Genomic DNA, 15,816 nt, shown 5'->3' on the forward strand with positions numbered 1-15,816 from the left:
TGCAGTGAGCCGAGATTGCGCCACTGCACTCCAGCCTGGGCAACAGAGCGAGACTCCATCTCAAAACAAAACGAAACAAAACAAAACAAAACAAAACAAAACAAAGAAATCATGTCATGGGCAGTGGTGGATGATATTGAGTTTCTATCAAAGTTGGCTTTGGTCACTGAGGAATTACAGGTGACAGGTTTTAAGCTTGTGCCGGAGAGAAGCCAGTGCCCCTTGGTACTTACATAATAGGGCTCAGAGAGATCACCCTGGGTGGATCTCCCCATGTATTGCAAATCGATAGGCAGGCTGGGCGCTGTGGCTCACACCTGTAATTTCAGCACTTTGGGAGGCCAAAGTGGGTGGATCACCTGAGGTCTGGAGTTCGAGACCAGCCTGATCAGCATGGGGAAACTCCATTTCTACTAAAAATACAAAATTAGCCGGGCTTGGTGACGGGTGCTTGTAATCCCAACTACTCGGGAGGCTGAGGCAGGAGAATCGCTTGAACCTGGGAGGTGGAGGTTGCAGTGAGCTGGGATCATGCCATTGCACTCTAGCCGGGGCACCAAAAGCTCGGATGATCCTCAGTGGTCTGGGGTGCAGGCTTCAAACCTGTAGCTGTCTAGTGACAGAGTGGTTCAATTCCACCTTTGTAGGCCCGGCGCAGTGGCTCACGCCTATAATCCCAGCACTTTGGGAGGCCAAGGCGGGTGGATCACGAGGTCAGGAGATCGAGACCATCCTGGCTAACACAGTGAAACCCCATCTCTACTAAAAATACAAAAAAATTAGCTGGGCGTGGTGGCAGGCGCCTGTAGTCCCAGCTACTCGGGAGGCTGAGGCAGGAGAATGATGTGAACCCGGTGAACCCGGGAGGCGGAGCTTGCAATGAGCCGAGATCACGCCACTGCACTCCAGCCTGGGCGACAGAGTGAGACTGTCTCAAAAAAAAAAAAAAAAAAAAAAAAAAAATTCAGTAGGTGTGGCTCAAGGCAGCACTTTCCTCAGTCTTCTGAGTATGCCGTTTATTGTTCCAGGTCACACCTAAGATACATTTGCAAATGTAATGATCCTCCCCTGGCAGTTTCATCTTTCTTAAGAGCACAGGGTGCTCTCCAGTATGATTGTTAAATATGTCATGCGTGCACGGATTGGCATATGTGTGCATGGGTTGGTGAGCAGAGACGTGTAGCCAGGATAGATGTGGGCATTATGCCATGAAAACTAGGGGCTACTGTCAGGATATTGAGTTTGAAACATGGGCTTTTTATTTTAGCAAACAGGAGATGATGAAAGCGTTTCACAGAGCTGGGGCTGGCAAATGTCAAGCCTGCCCCTCCAGATGGGACCTGCATGCGGGCCATTCATGGCTCCTGTGTCTCTTTTATTCTTGGCAGTCTCTCATCACTTTTGTGAACAAGCACCTGAACAAGCTGAATTTGGAGGTGACGGAACTGGAGACCCAGGTATGTGCTGCTTTGGCTTGAAGGATCCTTTGTCCACCGCCATTTTCAGTCAGTGTTTTGATCCCAGGTGGGGCGCGTGAACAAAGCTGGCGCCATTTTGTTCATCTCACAAGGAACTCCCGTGGTGCAGGCAGAAATAACCACCGTGGCCTTCTCAGCCCCTCTGTCTTCCTTTCCTGGGGCTGCTGCCACAAAGCACCACAAACCTAGTGGCTGAAACAACAGACCTTTGTGTCCTCGAAGTGCTGGAGGCCTGAAGTCCAAAATCAAGATGGGGCCTGGGTGGGTTCCCTCCAAGGCTGTGAGGGAGGAGCTGTTCCTGGCCTCCCTCCCAGCTTCTGTGGTTTTGCCAGGATCTTTAGCATTCCTTGGCTTGTACACACATCACTCCCTTCTTTGCCTTCATCTTCATGTGGTGTCGTCCTTGTGTGTGTGTCTCTGTGTCCAAATGTCCCCCTTTTATCAGGACGTGGTCATGTTGGATTAGAGCCCACCCATGGCTTCATCCCAACCTGACTGCATCTATGTAAACCCTGTTTCCAGATACGGTCACATTCAGAGGTCCTGGTGATTAGGGTTCCACTGTATCCTTTTTCTTTCTTTTTTTTTTTTTTTAAAGACAGAGTCTCGCTCTGTCACCCAGGCTGGAGTGCAGTGGTGTGATCTCGGCTCACTGCAACCTCCACCTCCCGGGTTCCAACCATTCTCCTGCCTCAGCCTCCCGAGTAGCTGGGACTACAGGTACATCCCACCATGCCCAGCTAATTTTTGTATTTTTAGTAAAGACGGGGTTTCACCGTGTTGGCCAGGATGGTCTCGATCTCCTGGCCTCATGATCTGCCTGCCTCAGCCTCCCAACCACTGTATCTTTTTTTGGGAGACACAAAACCCCAAAACACCTGAGTGGTGTTATTCAACCCATAACACACTCCAGGGCTCCACCCCAGCCCAACACAGGGCCTTTGCACACGCAGTTCCTCTGTCTAGAACGTGCTGGCCCCTTCAGCCTCTGCTCAGTGCTGCTGTCACACTGTGGCCAGGACCTAGCAAATGTCCCCCTGGTAGGTATGTACAACACATTTCTTCTGCAATAAGTATATCAAGTCTACTTCCCCAGCCCCGACCCCTACTCAAAGCTAAAGGAGCATCCTTAAATTATATTTTTGGGCACTCCGAGAGCATTAAAGACAAAATATGATTTTCCCAGGATTAGCAGGGTGCTTGAATGCGGAGGTTTTTGAGCTCTTGGTACAGACATCCCTAATGCACAGCTGATCCTTCTTAAACCCCAAGGTGAATGCATTCATTCCCTTCTCTTTCTTTAACTTTCCTCATTTGCTTTTCTAATTAAAAAACTAATTCAGGTTCATTGTAGAAATGTCTGAAAATGCAGATAAGCAAAACAAATAAAAATCACCCATAATCCCGTCACCCGGAGATGAATGCACAGAGGGTTTTGTTCAGGCCTTTTCTCTACACATATAGCGAGTCATGGACAGTGTGGGTCTGTATATAAAAGCATCACGGTCTGTTTTTAATGTATATATTTATTTGTGTATCGTTGGCCAACACATTTCTTATTTTCCGCAGTTTACAAATGTTGCACATTTAGCCTCAGATTATTTTCTGTTTGAGACGTTAGCACCCCAGAAGCCACTGAGGTGAAAAGTAAAAATCTTCCTTTCTCTTTTTCTGGAGACCTCCCCCTTCAGACTCTCCAGGGGCAGCTAACTGCAGTTCATGGTTGGATGTGTATTTTTCTAGATATTTTCTTTTTCTTTCTTTCTTTTTTTTTGAGACAGAGTCTCATTCTGTCCCCCAGGCTGGAGTGCAGTGACACAATCTCAGCTCACTGCAACCTCCACCTCCTGGGTTCAAGCAATTCTCCTCCCTCAGCCTCCTGAGTAGCTGGGACTACAGGTGCGCCTCACCATGCCTGGCTAATTTTTTTGTATTTTTAGTAGAGATGGGGTTTCACCATGTTGGTCAGGCTGGTCTCGAACTCCTGACCTTGTGATCCACCTGCCTCAGCCTCCCAAAGTGTTGGGATTACAGGTGTGAGCCACATTTTCTATGCACAAAGGTATTTTTCTAAATAACAGTGGATCTTACCGCCCACTGTTTTGTAATGTGTTTTGTGTCACTAAATACACTGTGGGCATCTTTTGGTGTAAGAGAAAGTGTGTGTGTGTGTTTCTATCTGATCCTTTTTCCCTTGCTCGATCTATCGGTCTGTCTATATTTTGTCACTTTTAATGGGAAGTGTATCTCATCAGCGGGAAGGCTGCACTGCACCTCATTAAACCAGTGCCTCACGACTGGATGTTTTTCTGCTCCTGTAAACAGCAGTGCAGAGAGCAGCTTTGTGCACGGCTGTCTGTGCTCGTGCCTGCTTCCTCGGAATAAAAGCCTAGAAGTGGAGTCATTAGAGCGAAGCCTGCACCGCACACTTTGAAGGCTCAGGAAGATTTGCTGTGTGGGGGCCCCTGGTACTGTCATGGGGCGTGTGAGGGGCACTGCTCCCCCACATCCATACCAGCTGTCCCCACAGCCCTTCTCAGAGGTGTCTGCACATCAGTATTAGCAGCTGAGCCTCTTACATTGAGACTCTAAAATTAAATTTGCATTTGTTTTTATTTACTCAATATCTTCATTTTTTTCCCCCCGATTAATCGTACTATATAGAGTCTTAAAAGTACATTTAACCACTGGTCCCCCAGAAAAGGTCGCTGGTTACAGAAATGCAGGGATTTTTGTTTTGTTTTGTTGCAAAGGAATTTGGGTATTTTTATAAATACCATATATCATTTATGAAGACTGTAAATCATTAACGTCTTGATGCCCTAGGAGTCGGAGAGGCCCTGGTTTAATTTCTTCAATTTCTATTTGTGTGTGGGTGAGTGTGGTTTATGTAGTCTGGTATGTGTGGTTTATGCAGTCTGTTGGGGGTGTGTGTGTGTGTGTGGTTTATGTAGTCTGGTGGGTGTGTGTGTGTGTGTGTGTGTGGTTTATGTAGTCTGGTGTGTGTGTGTGTGGTTTATGTAGTCTGGTGTGTGTGTGTGGTTTATGTAGTCTGTGTGGTGTGTGTGTGTATTTGTGGTTTACGTAGTCTGTGTGGTGTGTGGTGTGTGTGGTTTTCGTTGTCTGTGTGGTGTGTGTGTGTGGTTAAGTAGTCTGTGTGGTGTGTGTGTGGTTTATGCAGTCTGTGTGGTGTGTGTGTGGTTTATGTAGTCTGTGTGGTGTGATGTGTGTGTGTAGTTTTTGTAGTCTGTGTGGTGTGTGTTGTGTGTGTGGTTTATGCAGTCTGTGGTGGGGGTGTGTGTGTGTGGTTTTTGTAGTCTGTGTAGTGTGTGGTGTGTGTGTGGTTTATGCAGTCTGTGTGGTGTGATGTGTGTGTGTGTGTGTGGTTTTTGTAGTCTGTGTGGTGTGTGTGTGGTTTTTGTAGTCTGTGTGGTGTGTGTGTGTGGTTTTTGTAGTCTGTGTGGTGTGTGTGTGTGTGTGTGTGTGGTTTTTGTAGTCTGTGTGGTGTGTGTGTGGTGTAGGTGTGTGTTTTCCCTCCTTTTCCAAACCATTCTTACATTGCGGACAGCGTCCCAGCTCTGTGATGGTGAGTGAACTCCTCAGCCTCCCTGAGCTTCTGTCCACAGAATTAAACTGGAGGCGATGGGCAGTGTGAGGACTGGGTGAGATGGCGCACTGAGATCAAGTGGGCAGGGCTCGGCAGGGGTTAGCACTGCGGATGAGGAGGCGGTGGTGGGGCCTCTGGGCCTCCGTGGGGATTCTGCTCCCTGCTGAGCTAGACAGCAGGTTGTGGAGAGAGGGCACCACGCTGGGTGCTTGTGAAAGTGGAGGGTCACCCGCTCGCAGCTGGGCCCCCCAGCCCTGCCCTCTCCTTGTGGCCGTCCCTCCCTCCTTCCTGTGAGCCCGTGTGCTGGGACAGTGAGGAGACACCACGGAAGGAAGAAAAGACTCAGCAGGCTCAGGGCCTGCGGGAGCAGCGGCGTGGCCACCCCAGACCTCCTGGGGAGAGGTGTGGGTTGGTGCCTTCATTCACGTGGCAGCTTCCATTCCCTGGAAGTTAGTCCATGGAGACGTGGGCATGGCAGCTCAATGTTGTTCTGCTGGGAAGGTGCCAGCACGCTTAACCAGGGTGCTGTGGGCATGAAGCTTCCATGTGGAGACACACTTAAAAGAATTCTTCAAACCCGTCTGATCTCCTTAATGATAGGAGTGGCTGGCTGCTTTGTGGTGTGGAAGGCTGAGGGCATGTGACATGGAGGCCAAGTGCCATTTGCCCATCAACTGACAGCGTGTTGAATTTCCAGGCGCAGTGGCTCATGCCTGCAATCCTAGCACTTTGGGTGGCCGAGGTGGGTGGATCATGAGGTCAGGAGTTCAAGACCAGCCTGACCAACATGGTGAAACCCCATCTCTACTAAAAATACAAAAATTGGCGGGTATGGTGGCACGCGCCTGTAATCCCAGCTACTCAGGAGGCGGAGGCAGAAGAATTGCTTGAACCCAGGAGGCAGAGGTTGCTGTGAGCCGAGGTTGCAGTGAGCCGAGATCGCACCACTGCACTCCAGCAGGGCCCAGACCCTGTCCTGAGTCCCTTAAGGGACTGTTGCCCACTGGCACTAGCTTTATGCTTTACAGCTCTAGCTGCAGCTCTCCCTGCTAAAGGTCAGGGCTTCTGATATTGGATGTTTGTGATTTTGACTTTTCATCTTTTTTTTTTTTTTTTTTTGAGACAGTTTCACTCCTGTTACCCAGGCCGGAGTACAGTGGCGCGATCGCGGCTCACTGCAACCTCTGCCTTCCGGGTTAAAGCGATTCTCCTGCCTCAACCTCCCGAGTAGCTGGGATTACAGGCATGCACCACCACACCCGCTAATTTTTGTATTTTTACTAGAGACGGGGTTTCACCCTGTTGGTCAGGCTGGTCTTGAACTCCTGACCTTGTGATCCACCCACCTTGGCCACCCAAAGTGCTAGGATTACAGGCGTGAGCCACTGCGCCTAGAAGTTTTTACTTTTAATTTTTTTAAAAATTCAAATTTAAGAATTCTGGAGATTGTTTGTACAATAACGTGAATGCACCTAACATGATTGAACTGGACAGTTAAAAGTAGTTAAGATGGTAAATGTTATGGTATATTTTATGGTATATTTTACCACAATTTAAATTAATTAAAGAGAAAGGTTAGCATAAGCGAGACACAAAAGATAAATGGATATGCGATTCCACTTACGTGAGATACCCAGAGGAGTCAAATTCATAGAGACAGAGAGCAGAATGATTGGTGGTTCTCAGGGGCTGGGGGGAAGGTAGAATAGAGAATTGGGGGACAGAGTGTCACTTTGGTAACATGAAGAAGTTCTGGAGATGGGTGGTGGTGAGGGTGACCCAACAATGAGGATGTACTTAATGCTACTGGCCTGTGCGCTTACACACGGTTAAGATGGTACATTTCAGCTTATGTATATTTTATCACAATAAAAAATAAGTTAGCAACATTCAAACAAAAACATTTTAATTTAAATAGCTGCATGTGGCCATTGGCTACCATGTTGAATAGCAGCTCCAGAGGCCCCCTGGAGAATGGGGCCACAGTCACTGTGGTCTCTGCTGCAAGACAGAGTGGTGAGGGCCACCAGGTCCCAGCTCTGCACCCTGCAGATTTGAATGAATCCTTCCAGCAGCTGATGCTGATGGAGCACTCACGTGTGCCAGGTGCTCCCTCCCAGCCGTCTCGCTGTGTCTTCACGACAGCCCTGAATGATGGGAGTCACTACTATCCCTGGGGTCAGGAGTGGGGGACAGTTCCAGAGGCACGGTCCTAGCCAGGCAGCTGCACTCAGCTCCAAACACTCATCATATTTGGTCTTTGCAGAGCCCCATGTGTTAGAGCCCCCTCCCCTTTTGCTTTTTTCTAGGTTAGGAGCCAGGTCTCAAAAGACTTCACATTCAGGCCTTCACTTGATTCCAGATTCTCCTGCCTAAAGTGAGAGGAGGGATGGATTGCTTTACTTTAAAATATTTCCAGCTGGGTACAGTGGCTCCCACCCGTAATCCCAGCACTTTGGGAGGCTGAGGCAAGTAGATCACTTGAGCCCAGGAATTTGAGACCAGCCTGGGCAACATGGTGAAACCCTGTCTCTACAAAAAATACAAAAATTAGCCGGGCATGGTGGTGCGTGCCTGTAGTCCCAGCTACTTGGGAGGCTGAGGTGGGAGAATCGCCTCAGGGAGGATCACCTGAGCCTGGGAGGCCGAGCTGCAGTGAGCCTTGATTGCATCAGTGCACTCCAGCCTGGGTGACAGAGTGAGACCCTGTCTCAGAAGAAAAAATATGCCCCCCTTAAGTTTGTGCAAAGCATTTGCCAACTCCTTACCCTGCCCGGAAACATCACAAGTCTTTCTCTGCAGTTTGCAGATGGCGTGTACCTGGTTCTGCTCATGGGCCTTCTGGAAGACTACTTTGTTCCTCTCCACCACTTCTACCTGACTCCGGAAAGCTTCGATCAGAAGGTATGTGCATGGTCTCCATCCTTGGTAGGGGCTCAAGAAATGCTCATTGAAATGCAGAGCATAGACTATCCCGGCAGCTCTTCCTGCAGCCTGGCTGCATTCTTCAGAAAGTAAAAAATGCACAAGTGATATTGCAATTAGATGTAACTCTCAGCAAAAGAAATAAGAAGCCCATCAGCCGTCCACAACGCATCCGAGTTTTGTTTGCCACATTTTCTTTGCGGTCTTTTCCATGGGACCGTGTAGTTTTTAATAATTGTGATCACATCTCGGTAGAGTTGTAAACCCTTCCCCCATTCTGCTGCAGCTCCACCACCTGTGGTTTTCCCTGCTGCTTCCCAAGCTTTCCAAATACCATCTCCAGTGGTGGCACGAAGTCCCAAGGATGGCTCTGTTACCAGCGTCTTTCCATTCCCCATTCTTGGGCAGTCAACTTGAACATGTTTCTATTGTTTTTCCCTACTGAAACAACAGAGCATCTTTTTGATACAGATTTTTTTTTTCATTCCTGTGGATTGTTTTCTTAGGAAAATTTCTCAAATAGGGTCAAATTTGGGGCATTCCTTTCAATCTGGGCTGGCCCACGCCACCCGGTCCCGCTGTCACTGCCCTCGTGCGTGGGCCTCTCCCTGCTGTCTGCCCTCTGTCCAGGGCTTCCCGCAGCCAAGCCTCTCACAGCAGTATTTAGCACATTGCCTTTAAAAACTTGGCCATGGATGGTCTATGTTGCTTTGGATTCATGGGCATCTGTCATTTTATTTTCCCAAAGTGTTAGACCCATGAGTCAGGGAGGCAGACAATGTAAGCTGGTGGCGACAGCCAGAGAAATAGCAGAAATGGGGCCAGTGTTTATCAATCTGCCCACTTCTGGCACGTTGCAGTCTGTTTGCTTGTGGCCAAATGTTGTTCCTATCTTGCCTGCTGAGATGGAATCAGGACAGATTAGAGAGGTCTTGGCACATGGAGTCCATGTTGAATCGAGAGAGAGAGAGCGAGCGAGCGAGCAAGAGGGAGTGCAGAGGGAATGAGCAGAATTGTGCAGAACTCACCAGGAAACTCACCAGGTGCCTGTGCTGTCATCCTGGAAATGAAAGGTCAGACCATCCAGCGAAGAAGCGCATGCATTTCCAGGCCCCGATATGGCTGGTTGCAGACACATTGTTTTGGAGAGATCTTTTCTTTCTTCAAACTAGTAAGAATGCTGGCGAGAACAGTGAGTTTAGCCAGGAGACCTAGGGCTGGTTTCTTTCCAAGACAAGGCTTTGTACAAATGTCAGAGGCATCATCTCCTGGGCCCTGGCCTTCTTCCCTTTGAAACTGGGATGAAAGTCTTTGACAATTGCTGCCCTGGCCTGCGAGGCTTGAGGAGGCTTGAGTCATCTGCCTTCCCCTCTGAATCGGAGCGAGGAAGGGAAGGCTATTTTCAGGTATAGCATGCAGCACACCATTCATCCTGTTCACTCAGGAGAAAGGGAGCCTGGGGTGGCGGTGTGGCTCTGCGGGTGGCTGGAACACTCTCCTTCGGAGGATGGGAGGCTGTCAGTAGTTCCTCCTCCAGCCCCTGCCTTTTTTCCCTTTCTCCTCATGGCAGCTGCTGGCAAGGTCTTCATGAGCCCATAGTATTTATTATCTACCTTGTAGTCTTCGTGAATCCTGGACAGGTGGGTGGTCCCTGCTGTGGAGGACTCACCCACTTCAGGCTGGGCCCAACACCCGTGTACTCAAAACTGCTTGCGGATGGGATGTTGATGGCATCCCTTGCTAATGTCTCCTGTGGGCTGAGACCCCGAGGTGCGTTTGCTCTGGCCCTGGGAATCCTGACAGCTGCTCCACATTTTTGGGAGGAGGGACTGAGGTTCAGTGAGCAAAACCAGAGATGCGTCATGAGCTGCTGTCCCCGAGGGTAGTAATGACTTATGGTTTAAAACAATTGCATTGGATTTAAAAAATATCACACTGGACAGCTCAGAGCCTGTAGGCTCGTGCCCCATGAGCTATCTCAGAGGCATGAGTGTGGCCTTCAGTTTTTTTGTTGCAAAGCCACTGTTTGAGCCTTACCCTGCACTGGCCACGTGCTGAGCACCTTGCACCCATTGGTCATCATTTTGGGAGACTCTGCAGGCTCCCTCTCTCTGTCGAGTGGGGTGCATCCTGGAGACGTGGAGATCTTTCCTAGAAGAAGACACGAGTTGCTTCCCCCTCAGCATTACTGGATGAGGACAGGGAATCTCAGGAAGGCTTAGAGACCAGCCCAGGGTTGCACGGCCAGCAAGGGCAGAGCCAGGAGGGTCGACTCCTATTCCAGAACCCTCTATTCTTTCCTCACCTGGCCAAGTTGATTAAAACCTTTTGAATTGCAGAGAGAAAGGATTTCTGCCCATGTGGCTGGCTCGAAGCAGGTGTGTATATGGCCTGGTCTCTGCTGGGCCTTGGGGCCTCCTACTGCAGTCACAGCTGGGGTGAGCGGTCCCCAGGCCTCTCCGGGATCCATGTGCTGGGTATCCAGGGATCTAGGCTCAGGGGACACTTCTCTGCCTGGCATGAAAGAGGGCTGGGGGAGGAGGCATGGCCTTGAGAGATAACAGGCATGGGAGGGTGGCAATTTCCTGCCTGGCATTTCCTCAGCCTGAGAAGAAAGCAGAAGGAAAATCTCACTTCAAAACCACTTACTGTGGGGCCGAGCGGCTGCAGAGCAATGAGGCTTGGAAGGGGCTTTGCTCTCCCCTTAAACTGTTCTCTCATGGTGTAGGGGTGACCACCTCGTCACCCGATCACACTCTCCAGCCGTCTCTGAGTGTCTCCACGTGTCATGCATCTCATCCCCAGCCCCTCCTGAGCATCCACTCCCTCAGCGTGGAAGAGGATTCCTCAGGCTTAAGAGGTGCACGGGAGAGGCACGTGAAAAGACCGGTCCAAATTGGTGCTGACTTTTACAATGGAGAAGAATCTTTTCTTAAAAGAAAAATCTTTTCTCGCTATTCCCTCTCTTTGCTATCCTGTCTCCATCTCGATTTGGGGTCAAGCCTGTTGTGTGTGTGTGTGTGTGCACGTGTGCATGTGCATACGTGTGTGTGAGCTCATTTGATGATATGGACGGTGGTCAGCTAAAGGGACCTGTGTTGCTAGGGGAGTGGAGGTGGGAGGCTCTTGGAGGAGAACGGGCACAGATTCTACGTTTCAGTCCTGGTTCCATGCCTGTGAGCCCCGTGCCTTGTTTTTCTTTTCTTTTTTTTTTTTTTTTGGAGGCGGGGAAGGAATCTCACTCTCTCACCCAGGCTGGAGTGCAGTGGCACGATCTCGGCTCACTGCAACCCCCGCCTCCTGGGTTCAAGCGATTCTTCTGCCTCAGCCTCCTTAGTAGCTGGGATTACAGGCACATGCCACCATGCCTGGCTAATTTTTGTATTTTTAGTAGAGACGGGGTTTTACCATGTTGGCCAGGCTGGTCTTGAACTCCAGACCTCATGATCCACCCGCCTCAGCCTCCCAAAGTGCTGGGATTACAGGCGTGAGCCACTACATCCAGCTGCCCCATGCCTTTTTAGGGCACCGATGTCCTAGCCCATCTCAGCCCAGCACCACCCTCCTTTGTGAAGGAAGATGATATTCACCTCGTACAGGGCTGGGAGGGGAAAGGGAACCTGTATGGAATACACTGACCCCATGGTGGATGCACAGCACCCGCAGGTCGCTCCCTGCTCTCTCCTTAGGGGAACTGCGTTCTGCACCCTCCGCACGGGCCGTCCTCACTCCTCCCCCATTGCCAGTGTTTGGCCATCCTCAGGCCCAGCCCTGGTGCAGCACTCCCGCATCTCCAGGCAGGCTGTCCTGCAGGGTTGGGGTGTCTGCCATGTGGCCCAGTGTTCCCATTGGCAGTTTCTGAGTTGGCCTCTGGAGCAGGGTCTCCGTCTGCTGCACCCCCGCCCCTGGGTGGACATGGCCTGCCCTCCTGCCGGGCTGTGTCTTCCCCACTGACCCTATGACTAGCCAGACCCTCTTGCGGTTGGTGCTGGCAGGTCATTCGCCCCTTTGCTTCTCCGAGCACAGGCCGTGTGCACTGTGGAAGCTTTTCCAAAGCACCCCACACTGTTTTCCAGTGTTGTTCGTTTGATTAACTCAGGGAAGCCTCTTTTTCCTGGTTAATTATTAAATTACATTGCAAGTAAAATTGTTCTTGTTTCTGATTCATTGGCCTCAAAATCATGAAAATATGATCGTTGAAAGGATTTTTTGTTTGTTTGTTTGCTTGTTTTTTTGAGACAGAGTGTTGCTCTGTCACCCAGGCTGGAGTGCAGTGGCACAATCTCAGCTCACTGCAACCTCCGCCTCCTGGGTTCAAGCGATTCTCATGCCTCAGCCACCCAAATAGCTGGGATTACAGGTGTGCACCACCATGCCCGGCTAATTTTTGTATTTTTAGTAGAGATGGGGTTTCACCCATTGGTCAGGCTGGTCTCGAATGCCTGACTTCAACTGATCCACCTGCCTCGGCCTCACAAAGTGCTGGGATTACAGGTGTGAGCTACCACGCCCAGCCAGGATGTTTGATTACTAAGAGCCCTGAAGTCCCTTGCACTGTGACATCTGTGCTTGTTTGCTGTTTGTTTGTTTGATGTCCCCTCCTCCCATCAGCCTTGGCTTGCGGCAGGTGGGTGGCTGGATGTAATCTGGTTCATTGCCGGCATCCCTCTGAGTGGTCTTTAAACACAGCCCAGAAGGCTTTTATTTTAAACCTGTTCAGCCATCATTAGCAGGATAAAAGCTTCAGGTACATTTGGGGGCTGAGGAGTAATAGACCCTTTAATTTCAGGGGAAGTCACGGTAGGGCGGAGGTGGCCACGTTTCTGTAGCATCTAACAGGACCAAGGTCCTGCAGGCTGACGCTTGCAGCCACCATCGATCTGACTTCCGTTCTGACTGGTCCACTGTCCCTACTCAGTGCTAAGGCCCTCCCTCCCCTGAGGGCACCCCATCCTGCAGAGACACAGCCTCACGTGCAGGTCTTTACAGCCCTTCCTGGGGCAGTGCCAGGCCTGCGTGCCTCTGCACGGGACTCATCCTTTCTGGGCCTCAGTTTCCCTGTCTGTGAAATGGGGTCACTGTGGGCCAGGCGCAGCGGCTCACGCCTGTAATTCCAGCACTTTGGGAGGCTGAGGCGGGTGGATCATTTGAGCCCAAGAGTTAGAGACTAGCCTGACCAACATGGCAAAACCCGTCTCTAAAAAAAATAATAATAATACAAAAATTAGCCGGGCACAGTGATGCGTGCCTGTAGTCCCAACTACTGGGGAAGCTGAGGCAGGAAGATGGCTTGAGCCTGGGAGGTGGAGGTTGCAGTGAGCTGAGATCTCGCCACTGTGCACTAGCCTGCGCTCTAGACCCTGTCTCAAAAAACGTAAATAAATAAATAAACAAAGAAATAATAAATAAAATGGGGCCCCTGTGACTTCTCATCAGGTGGCTGGCATCTGGGGCAGAGCAGGCTCTTGGTGGCCGTGAGCCCTCGAGAGCAGGCCGGGCACCTCATCCTTCCATCTCTCAGCCCAGATCACTGGTGTGAGGGGTGAGAACCACCTAGTAAGCGCACATGGCCCTCCGCAGACTTCCTCACCCGTGTCTGCCCACCCTGTGGCCCGCCCCGGGCTCACTGGGTCCTTGTGGACGTCAGCGTTGCAGAGGCTCGGTCCTGTCCATGCCGGCTGTCCTCCAGCAGTGGGCCGTGTGTGGGAACGACTGTTGGACCCTAACGCTGACCCACCCCCCTTCCTTGGCAGGTCCACAATGTGTCCTTCGCCTTTGAGCTGATGCTGGACGGAGGCCTCAAGAAACCCAAGGCTCGTCCTGAAGGTAATGCCCCTGGCTCAGGTTCCCCCGGGAGAGGTGCGCACGGAGGGGAAGAAAAACGGGTCCTAGAAGTGGCTGGAAGGCTGGCATGTTGTTCCCCAGATGGGCCCCACGTCTCTGGCTCTGGGGCAAGGGTCTGCCAACCCCAGCTCCTCAGTCTCCTCATTTTGGGAACCAGGAGGACTTCGCTGGTGGAGCTGGCAGTGCCGGTTCTTTAATAACCACTTGACTTTGAAGGACGTGGCCTCTGCCCACAGACCTCAGGATTAAGTGCGTCTCTAGCTGGCCACTCAGGCTGGAAATGCAGCTTCGTGCCCTGAGAAGAAATTAAAGGCTTACTCAACTGTAATGACTGTTGGGCTGGAGGTCCCCTGATGCTCAGCCAAAGGCAGTACTTGGTAGCAGGGACTTGGCATGCTCTGCGTGGGTCGGAGCTGGAGGCAGGAGGCCAGCAGAGCTGGGGCGGGCGGTTGCTTCCCTGTCCCCCCCCCGGCTCCTGTGCCAAGTTACCTATAGGAGGACTCTCTAACCTGAGTGAGCATCACAGTTCCCCAAACACACTTCCTAGGTGTTTGGGGACAGCCAGGCTCAGCAGAACATGGGTGGCACTGCCTGTGAACCCTGCTGGAAAGTTACAGGGCAGAGCTGAACATTAAAGGCTTTGACAAGTCCTATATGAAGACATCTGTTTGCCTCCATCAAAACCTTTGCCATGCAGGAGGAGCCCACAGAACTCAGACACTGTGGTTTAGTGCCCTGGGCCCCCACTTTGACCGTGGCCCCCTACCTAGCCCTGCTCCCTCTCCTGAGTCCCCCATGGTGCTATATGAGTTGGGAGCCCATGATGCTTCCTACACCTGTTGCCAGCATCCGCTCAACGGCGGGCTTTGTAGAGTCTCCAAAATAGCTAGAAAATGGATCCTGTCCCTTCCATCTACCCACTGCAGCCACCGCTTCCTGCCAGTCCACGCGGAAGGTTCCTGGCCGGTCCCTTCCTGCCTGTTCATCCTCCTCTTGGGGTTTCACAGGACAATTTCACACCCTCCTGTCTCGTGTGTATGGCTGTTTATTCTTTTTTGTTTTGAGACAGGGTCTCACTCTGTTGCCCAGGCTGGAGTGCAGTGGTATGATCACAGCTCACTGCAACCTCTTCCTCTTGGGTTCACAGCATCCTCCCACCTCAGTCTGTCGAGTAACTGGGACTAAGGCGCATACCACCATGCCCGGCTAATGTTTTAACTTTTCTTTTTTGTAGAGACAAGGTCTCACTATGTTGCCCAGACTGGTCTCGAACTTCTGGGCTCAAGCGATTCGCCCATTACAGGCACGAGCCCCCATGCCTGGCCTTGTTTATTTTTTATTGTCCCTCCCTCCCCACTAGAACAGAAGCCTCAAGGGAGCAGGGCTTTGTCCCCTGCATGCCGGTGCTGAGAATGGTGCCTGGCCTGGAAACTGCTCGACAGCACGGATCAAAGCACATGTCCAGCAGGGAGTGTGGCGAGCTGCTGCCTGTAGATACCGGCCCGGCCTGGGTCTCTGGGACCCCTCGTTGCTGCTGCCCTGCAGCCCTTTTGTTGCTGTGAGGCAGGGCCATGAGGGAGTGGCTAGAGGCCCGAGGGATGCTGCTTTGCCTCTCCCCAGCTGTGCATCCTTGAACAGGTTACTTTGCCTTTCTGTGCCAGGGCCTCCTCCTCTGTTGAGGGGAGTGATGATGGCACCTGCCTCCACGCGTCATGGGGTCGCTGGATGGGGGGCGGATGTTCATCACACAGGACTTGTCAGAGCCTTCACTGTTCAACTCTGCCCTGTAACTTTCCAGCAGGGCCCACGGGCAGTGCCACCACGTGCTGCTGAGCCTGACTGCTCCTGAGCACCTATTACGCTCAAGTGAGCTGCTCCCATGAGCACTGGAAGAGGGTCCTGCCCACAGAACACACCAGGTCCCTGCTGATGGTGGCTGCTAGCTCGGCGTTAGTGTCTGGT

General features: G+C 51.3%; 1 protein-coding gene and 1 non-coding gene across 12 annotated transcripts in view, besides 5 other annotated features; both read left to right on the forward strand.

The window, feature by feature from the left end:
* The window catches only part of PARVB (parvin beta), a 173,729-nt gene that overhangs the window by 150,884 nt on the left and 7,029 nt on the right, over window positions 1–15,816 (forward strand). For 8 of the 11 annotated variants that reach the window (NM_001003828.3, NM_013327.5, NM_001243385.2 and 5 more), the window contains 3 exons: window positions 1,389–1,457; window positions 7,888–7,989; window positions 13,764–13,836. In NM_001003828.3, coding sequence (NP_001003828.1) covers window positions 1,389–1,457; window positions 7,888–7,989; window positions 13,764–13,836 — 244 coding nt within the window. The remainder of the gene's footprint in view (window positions 1–1,388; window positions 1,458–7,887; window positions 7,990–13,763; window positions 13,837–15,816) is intronic. The other 3 variants (XM_024452236.2, XM_017028792.3, NM_001243386.2) reach the window with 1 other exon arrangement.
* TRU-TCA2-1 (tRNA-SeC (anticodon TCA) 2-1) lies at window positions 563–646 on the forward strand. Its single transcript has one exon. It is a non-coding gene; the product is annotated as a tRNA-Sec (tRNA).
* Window positions 4,679–5,502: an enhancer, noted in NCBI's record as "H3K27ac-H3K4me1 hESC enhancer chr22:44550653-44551476 (GRCh37/hg19 assembly coordinates)". NCBI's record gives its function as "activates a minimal SCP1, AML or CMV promoter by ChIP-STARR-seq in primed H9 embryonic stem cells {active_cell/tissue: H9 hESC(primed)}" and the evidence as "EXISTENCE:reporter gene assay evidence [ECO:0000049][PMID:30033119]".
* Window positions 5,503–6,326: an enhancer, noted in NCBI's record as "H3K27ac-H3K4me1 hESC enhancer chr22:44551477-44552300 (GRCh37/hg19 assembly coordinates)". NCBI's record gives its function as "activates a minimal SCP1, AML or CMV promoter by ChIP-STARR-seq in primed H9 embryonic stem cells {active_cell/tissue: H9 hESC(primed)}" and the evidence as "EXISTENCE:reporter gene assay evidence [ECO:0000049][PMID:30033119]".
* Window positions 7,781–8,314: an enhancer, noted in NCBI's record as "NANOG-H3K27ac-H3K4me1 hESC enhancer chr22:44553755-44554288 (GRCh37/hg19 assembly coordinates)". NCBI's record gives its function as "activates a minimal SCP1, AML or CMV promoter by ChIP-STARR-seq in primed H9 embryonic stem cells {active_cell/tissue: H9 hESC(primed)}" and the evidence as "EXISTENCE:reporter gene assay evidence [ECO:0000049][PMID:30033119]".
* Window positions 8,315–8,848: an enhancer, noted in NCBI's record as "NANOG-H3K27ac-H3K4me1 hESC enhancer chr22:44554289-44554822 (GRCh37/hg19 assembly coordinates)". NCBI's record gives its function as "activates a minimal SCP1, AML or CMV promoter by ChIP-STARR-seq in naive and primed H9 embryonic stem cells {active_cell/tissue: H9 hESC(naive and primed)}" and the evidence as "EXISTENCE:reporter gene assay evidence [ECO:0000049][PMID:30033119]".
* Window positions 10,451–10,984: an enhancer, noted in NCBI's record as "H3K27ac hESC enhancer chr22:44556425-44556958 (GRCh37/hg19 assembly coordinates)". NCBI's record gives its function as "activates a minimal SCP1, AML or CMV promoter by ChIP-STARR-seq in naive H9 embryonic stem cells {active_cell/tissue: H9 hESC(naive)}" and the evidence as "EXISTENCE:reporter gene assay evidence [ECO:0000049][PMID:30033119]".

This window comes from Homo sapiens, chromosome 22 (assembly GCF_000001405.40).
Source record: "Homo sapiens chromosome 22, GRCh38.p14 Primary Assembly".
NCBI classification, from domain to species: Eukaryota; Metazoa; Chordata; class Mammalia; order Primates; family Hominidae; genus Homo; species Homo sapiens.